Source organism: Homo sapiens, chromosome 14, assembly GCF_000001405.40.
Source record: "Homo sapiens chromosome 14, GRCh38.p14 Primary Assembly".
In the NCBI taxonomy this organism is placed as follows: domain Eukaryota; kingdom Metazoa; phylum Chordata; class Mammalia; order Primates; family Hominidae; genus Homo; species Homo sapiens.
In genome coordinates, this window is record NC_000014.9 from 89,766,935 (window position 1) to 89,774,229 (window position 7,295).

General features: G+C 44.3%; 4 annotated features.

Annotated features, from left to right (window-relative positions):
- Positions 249-518: an enhancer, noted in NCBI's record as "active region_8871". NCBI's record gives its function as "activates an Ori minimal core promoter by ATAC-STARR-seq in GM12878 lymphoblastoid cells {active_cell/tissue: GM12878}" and the evidence as "EXISTENCE:reporter gene assay evidence [ECO:0000049][PMID:35858748]".
- Positions 1,308-1,357: an enhancer, noted in NCBI's record as "active region_8872". NCBI's record gives its function as "activates an Ori minimal core promoter by ATAC-STARR-seq in GM12878 lymphoblastoid cells {active_cell/tissue: GM12878}" and the evidence as "EXISTENCE:reporter gene assay evidence [ECO:0000049][PMID:35858748]".
- Positions 6,366-6,978: an enhancer, noted in NCBI's record as "H3K27ac-H3K4me1 hESC enhancer chr14:90239644-90240256 (GRCh37/hg19 assembly coordinates)". NCBI's record gives its function as "activates a minimal SCP1, AML or CMV promoter by ChIP-STARR-seq in primed H9 embryonic stem cells {active_cell/tissue: H9 hESC(primed)}" and the evidence as "EXISTENCE:reporter gene assay evidence [ECO:0000049][PMID:30033119]".
- Positions 6,967-7,046: an enhancer, noted in NCBI's record as "active region_8873". NCBI's record gives its function as "activates an Ori minimal core promoter by ATAC-STARR-seq in GM12878 lymphoblastoid cells {active_cell/tissue: GM12878}" and the evidence as "EXISTENCE:reporter gene assay evidence [ECO:0000049][PMID:35858748]".

The window sequence follows — 7,295 nt, forward strand, 5'->3', positions numbered from 1 at the left end:
AAGATTAAATGAGGTACACTGCCCGGTGCATGGCAAGCACAAAGTAAAGTTACTTATAATAATAATTGATTTATAATAACATGAATTTTAAATATCAGTAAATTGGCACTGATTTTTTAGTTGCTAAAATGTTACTGCCTGGGCTTTTGTGAGAAGTAGTTCAGTGCAGTCAGCGTTTCAATTTTTCATTCTGAAATCTTGTCTAACTCCTTACTTCCTCCTTTCCCTGGTGGACTCAAGCAGTGGAGGTCCCAGTGTGCCTTACACCTGAGGAGGTGTGGTGTGTACATCAAAATCAAGCCTGCTTCCTTTTGGTAAATAGTTACACCACACCAGGCGAGGGCCTGCCTACTCCAGTGTGGCCGATGTATTTTTCCAAACCCATAATCAACCCAGAGATCATTGGCCCAACCACATCTGCTGCCCTTGATATTACATCTTGGAGTGGCAGTTGAGGGCCTGGCCAAGTAGAGAACTTGTCTTTTGGGGATGAAGTAGCATTCTCCCCCAACTCTCACTTTCTTTTCTACACGTGGATTTCTTTCTGAGTCTCATTTTATCTTTGTCTTTTTGGCTTTCTTTGTCTACACAATTGTTTTATTTATTTATTTGCCCCATCCCCCTACTTTTTTTGCAATGGGGTCTCTATGTTGCCCAGAAGCATCTGGAACACCTGGGCTCAAGCGATCCTCCCATCTCAGCCTCCCAAGTAGCTGGGACTACAGGCCCGAGTTACCACATGCAGCCCCACGATTGTTCCTTTTTACATATTAAATAACCTATGCTTAATTTAGAAAATGCAAAAAATGAAAAGATGGGGAAAAAAACCAAACACGTAACTCCTGCACCTTGGTGTGTACCCATCCAGAACACTACACATGCACACAATTTTTGTTTTCTCGGAAATAAAATCATATGAGCTAGACCAGTGGTTCTCAATCAGGGTGATTTTTCCCCCACAGAAGACATTCAGCAATGTCTGCAGACATTTTAGGTTGTCAAAACTGGGGCAGGTGGTGATACTGGCATCTAGTGGTTGAGGCCAGAGATACTGCTAAACATCCTAAAACGCACAGGCCAGCCCTCAACAACAACAAATTACCTAGCCCCAAATGTCAAAAGGCCCAAGGTTAGGAAACTCTGGTCTAGACCACGGTTAAGCAAACTACTGCCCTCCTGGTTGGCTACCTGTTTTTATAAATAAAGTTTTATTAGAACACGGAGATGTCCATTCATTTCTATGTCATCTATGGCTGCTTTGACTTACAACGCAAGTGAGCAGTTGTAACAGAAACTGTGTGGTCACAAGTCCTAAAATAAATATGAGCCACATATGAAATTTCAAGTTTTTCTAGTAGCCACATTTTTTTAAAGTACAAAAAAAGCAGGGGAAATTAATGTTAGTAATATGCCCCAAATATTATCATTTCAACCTTGAATCAACATAAAAATTAATGAAATATTGTTATATTCTTTTATTTCCATATTAAGTCTTCACTTACAGCACTTCTCAATTCAGACTAGTCACATTTTTTTTTTTTTTTTTGAGACGGAGTTTTGCTCTCATTGCCCAGGCTAGAGTGCAGTGGCACAATCTCAGCTTACCACAACCTCCTCCTCTCAGGTTCAAGCGATTCTCCTGCCTCAGCCTCCCGAGTAGCTGGGATTACAGGCACGTGCCACCACGCCCGGCTAATTTTGTATTTTTAGTAGAGACTGGGTTTCTCCATGTTGGTCAGGCTGGTCTCGAATTCCGACCTTAGGTGGTCCACCCACCTCAGCCTCCCAAAGTGCTGGGATTATAGGCATGAGCCACTGTGCCTGGCCCAGACTAGTCACATTTTAAGTGCTCACGTTGCTGGTGGCTATTGTATTACACAATGCAGGTCTACACTGCATTTTTCACTAAACTGCTTTTTTAAATTATTTTACTTTTAATTTTATTTTATATATATTTTTGAGACGAAGTTTCACTCTTGTCACCCAGGCTGGAGGGCAGTGGCGCGATCTCGGCTCACCACAATCTCTGCCTCCTGGGTTCAAATGATTCTCCTGCCTCAGCCGCCCTAGCAGCTGGAACTACAGGTGCATACCACCACACCCGGCTAATTTTTTTTTTATTTTTAGTAAAGACAGGGTTTCACTACGTTGGCCAGGCTGGTCTCGAACTCCTGACCTCAAGTGGTCCCCCTGCCTCGGCTTCCCAAAGTGCTGGGATTATAGGTGTGAGCCACTGTGCCCTGCCACTAAAAAAAAAAAGTGCTGCTTTTTTTACTTAATGGAAATAAAAGTCTTCTCATGTCCACCATATATTTTTATATCTCTTTTAAAGCGTTCAACTTTTTTAAAAGATTCCAATTTTCTGGATGTTTATATTGCTTCTGAGTTTCACAATTATGAACGATTCTGCCACGAACATTCTTAGATAAAGCTTTTTCACCTCATCTGTAATTATTTCCTTAGGATAAACTCCCAGATGTGCGTCAAAGAGCAAAGAAACATTTTTAAGGGTTTTGAAATATATATATTTTTAAGAATAATACCTTCCCTACAAGATGATTACAAGAATTACGTTAGTACATGTAAATCAATTTTATTAATTCAAGTAAGGTCAATAAAACTTAAAATAGTAGGCTGGGCACAGTGGCTCACACCTGTAATCCCAGCACTTTGGGAGACAGAAGTGGGCAGATGACGAGGTCAGGAGATTGAGACCATCCTGGCTAACACGGTGAAACCCCGTCTCTATTAAAAATACAAAAAATTAGCCAGGTGTGGTGGCAGACGCCTGTAGTCCCAGCTACTCGGGAGGCTGAGGCAGGAGAATGGCATGAACCCAGGAGGCGGAGATTGCAGTGAGCCGAGATTGCGCCACCGCACTCCAGCCTGAGTGACAGAGCGAGACTCCCTCTAAAAAAAAACAAAACAAAAAAAAAACAAAAAAAACTTAAAATAGTAGAACCTGGCACATAAAGGCACTCTATAAATACCATCTATTATTGGTATCAGTATTGCTCCTGAATTTATCTCCAGCACTGTGGTTCTAATTATACTTCCACTAACAATGTCTAAGAATGCTTGTTTCTGGTATACTCTTTCTAATACTATTATTTTTATAGCCCTTGCAAATTTGATATACGAAATTGGCTTCTTGTTATTGTTGGTTTAATCTGACTGTAGTTCATTCATTTTCTTCGATTTAGGATGTTTTTCTTGGGTAGAGTTGTTACAAGCTCAGTCTATAGCCACATGTTTAAGGGTTGGACCATTTTTCACCAGAATGACCAGGACAATAAGTGACCATTTGTATCAGTCAGCTTTCACTAGGTTACATGTTGTAACAAGTGCTCCTAACATCTCAGTGGCTCACAATAACAAGTATGTATTTCTCACTCACATTGCATGTGACAGCCCAGGCTGAAAGAGCGGTGCCCATCGGGGACATGCCATTCCCATGGAAGAGGGAAAGGAATAAATGAGAAAGAAAGCAAGGGTGAAGCCTCCAAAGCTTCAGCTCCTACCCGCACAGACTCCCTTCCGCTTGCATCTCATTAGCCAGAGCAAGTCATGGTGCCAAGTCCAATATCAATGGAGCAGAGAAGTGTATTCCCACCATAAGAGACACTGCAAGCTACATAGCAATGTGTGGGAACTGAGATAGGGAGCAATCCACCAGTAAAATCGATGCAATTAACTAATTGTGTGCCTCTATTCGCCTCAAGTCAGGATTCCCCCTATATGATTCATTACAGTTCTCATAGAAATGATAAGCCCCATCCCCGCTAGCCACCGTGGGAACAGACAACAGATACTGAGCTGCTGTACTGCTTCCAATGGGCTCTAAAGACAAACTGGTCTGGAGAGACCCAGCCTAAACCAAACACGAGGACATCTCCCACTCCCTGCTTAAAGGGGCAAACTTGCCTATCAATGAAAAGAACTTTGTGCCTAAAGTCATCATTACATCACCGACAAGTAGGAAACAATAAATCTCTGATCTGATCTAACCGTCATCAAACAATCATCCATCATACACAGAGAGTGTAATGGTTCCTTAGAATAAAGAGGATGGGGTTTATACTGCAGTTGGCCTCACCTGTGAGATCAATAGTTGCTATCAGCAGCAGCAGTAGCATAGTCACCACCATCACCTCCAGCGCCTTTTAAGGTCAAGCCAGTTACCATACACCTGAACCCAGCCAACAGCACAGGATGTTTACAGATAAAAGGACCGACCCCTGTCCTAAAGAATTGAGCCCTTGGCTCTGCTAGCATGGCTGGTTGGAAAATTATTATGCTACTTGAATCCTCATAAAAATATATTCCTAAAATCCTAACACTAGACAGTTTTAGAATCAATAAATGTATATTAAAATTACAAGCTGTTCTACCCCAACCCTGAAAGAAACCATTCTAGAAACATGAAAAACAAAAAAGAGCAAGGCATGTTTCCTAAGGTAAGTCACTTCCTATTTGAATCATTTATTTATATAACAAGCCTTTCTGGACTGATTAAGGAAACTGCCAGTTACACTTACCAGCTGTTCCTCAGGTTGGGGAGAAGCATGGCGTTTTCCTCCTGCTTTACATGTGAGTGCCTGTGCTGGAGATTTTTGTCCTCGTATCCAAATTCTCTCCCTTTCTGTCAGTCTCTGGAAGGACTCGATGCTCAAAGAAAAACACTTCTCATCCTGAACCAGTGGCAAAGGGAAGAAAACCAACACGATCCTTTACATCCCCCTGGGCTGCTAGCTTCCTTGAGCCTTAGAAAATGATCAGGAATGAAAGTACGGTATTTTCTTCTTCATCCGTTTTTAAACTTTAGGTCTCCCAACGCCCAGCTCAAATCCTACCTGTCCTATGAAGGCATTCCTAACGACCTCAGCTGAGAATGGTTTTCCTTCCCTGAACCTCAATTGCAGCTTCCTGATTTTACCCCCCACCAGCACTGTCTTCACTGCCTGGTAATGTTGGTTAACTTCCCAAGTGGGCTGTAATGGCTACTGATTTTACAGGTTCATTCTAGTCTCCCTTCTTCTGAGGTTTGGAGTGATTGGTTCGGGGTGAGCCTGTAACCCCAGAGGGACCATTCTGCATTTCCTCTTCATAGTTAAGTATGCCTTGAGAGAGAGAAGCTCCTGTTTTCTCCTGGGTCATGAGCTAGAAGGGAATTGTGAGCCTGGAACTTCTCAAAGCCATCTTCCCTGGACTCCTGCAAGAAGCCAATGTTGGGAGACGGAGAATCCTAATGACATACTTTGAACCCCTAGATCCAGTTATGCCTGAAACTCAGCCTGAACCTCCCAATTATGGGAACAAATACATTCCCTTTTCTGCTTAAGTGAAAAGTCTGTCTTGTCTTCTTTTCTTTTTCTTTCTTTCTTTCTTTTTTCTTTCTTTCTTTTATAGAGACAGGGTCTTGCTGTCTCTAAAAGGAGGCAGGCTGGAGTGTGAAATGGCACCATCACAGCTCACTGCAGCCTCAAACTCCTAGGCTTAAGCAATCCTCCTGCCTCAGCCTCTTGAGTAGCTGGAACCATAGGTGCACATCACCATCCCTGGCTAGTTTTTGTATTTGTTGTAGAGACAGGGTTTTACTATGTTGCTTAAGCTGGTCTCAAACTCTTGGGCTTAAGCTATCCTCCCGCCTCAGCCTCCCAAAGTCCTGGGATTACAGACATGAACCACTGTGCCCAGCCAATTTCAGTTGGTTTTAATTTTTTTCCTTCCTTCCTCCCTCCCTCCCTCCCTCCCTCCTTCCTTCCTACCTTCCTTCCTTCCCTCCCTCCTTCCTTCCTTCCCTCCCTCCCTTCTTCCTTCCCTCCCTCCTTCATTCCTTCCTTCTTTCCTTCCTTCCTTTTCCTTCCTTCCTTCCCTCTTTTTCCTTCCTTCCCTCTCTCTTTTTCCTTCCTTCCTTCCTCTCCTCTTTTTCCTTCCTTTGTTCCTTCCTTCCTTCCTTTTTTAGAAACAAGGTCTTGCTGTGTTGGTCAGGCTGGTCTCAAACTCCTGACCTCAAGCCATCCTCCTGCCTTGGCCTCCCAAAGTGTTGGGATTACAGGTGTGAGCCACTGCATCTGGCCTCAGTTGGTTTTTATTATTCACGACCTAAGTGACTAAGAAGCTCACTCAGAACTCCTTAGGAAAAAAGAAGAGTACGATGCAGGTGCTTTAGGGTATAAAATCTCCAAGATCTCTCCATCCTGCTGCTTTGTTCTTGTCATCGTGTGGTTGAAGCTGGGTTGCCTCAGATTTGGGTTCCAGCTGATGGGAAGGGGAAAGAGCACGTGGAGGGGTATGCAGCTGGCGTCCACAGGTGCAGCTCTGGAGCCGGCACACCCACTTGCCCAAACATGCATGTGATAAGTAGCAGTGATACGGCCACCCCTAACTGCATGGGAAGCTGGTTCATGGCTCTGTCTGGGGAGCTGTGTGTGCAGCCACAGCTGTATTTCTGAAAGAAAGATGCGGATGCACAGCCAGCAGTCTAAAGCACACCAGGTGTTTGTGGATTTAAACAATTGCAATAGCACATCCAATTTCAACACATGCGAAGTCTGGAGTGAGGTGAAGAAAACACCACTTCACAGGTATAAAGTGCTGGTGAGCAGAGCCCCTCAGGGTCTACTGTGGGGGGCTTGGACTATGGCAATTTAGTGAACCTGGAACTACATTTTCTAGAGTTCCTTTCCTGTAGGGTTTCAAGTTAGGGCTGACCAGGAGAGAAATTTGCATGAGATATGGAAGGTGGAAGTGAAGCAGCAGCTCTCACGCTCCGCAGGTGGGTGCGGGGCACTGTGCATTGTTACTGTAGCTCCAGTGCGTTGCCACTGATCTGCTGACTCACCCGGTGGCGGCTCGGGGCAGCCAGCCCTGCAGTTCCTCAGCAGCTGCCCCATATCCCTCTTTAGCATCGCCAAATCCTCCCAGGTGCAAGTGTTCTTCAATGATGAGGGACAGCAACTCCTGCTTTGGGTTATCCCTTCACTGAGGGGGGCTGCAAGAGGCAGACATGGCTTATAGGTTGTGGCCTTTCTTCACATAAGGGTCTCTCAGCCTCAGCACTGTTGCTCTTTCAAGCCAGATAACTGTGGTCAGAGGCTGTCTTGTGCATTGCAGTGTTTAGCAGCATTCCTGGCCTCTTCTCACTAGATAGTCGTCACTCTCACCTAAGTTGTGGCCACCAAAACTGTCTCCAGGCATCAACTCCAAATGTCTTCTGGGGGACAAAGTCGTCCCGGGTTGAGAACCACAGCCTTCACATCCGGCTTTTTTTCTCAACTGCTGGCTTTGTGACC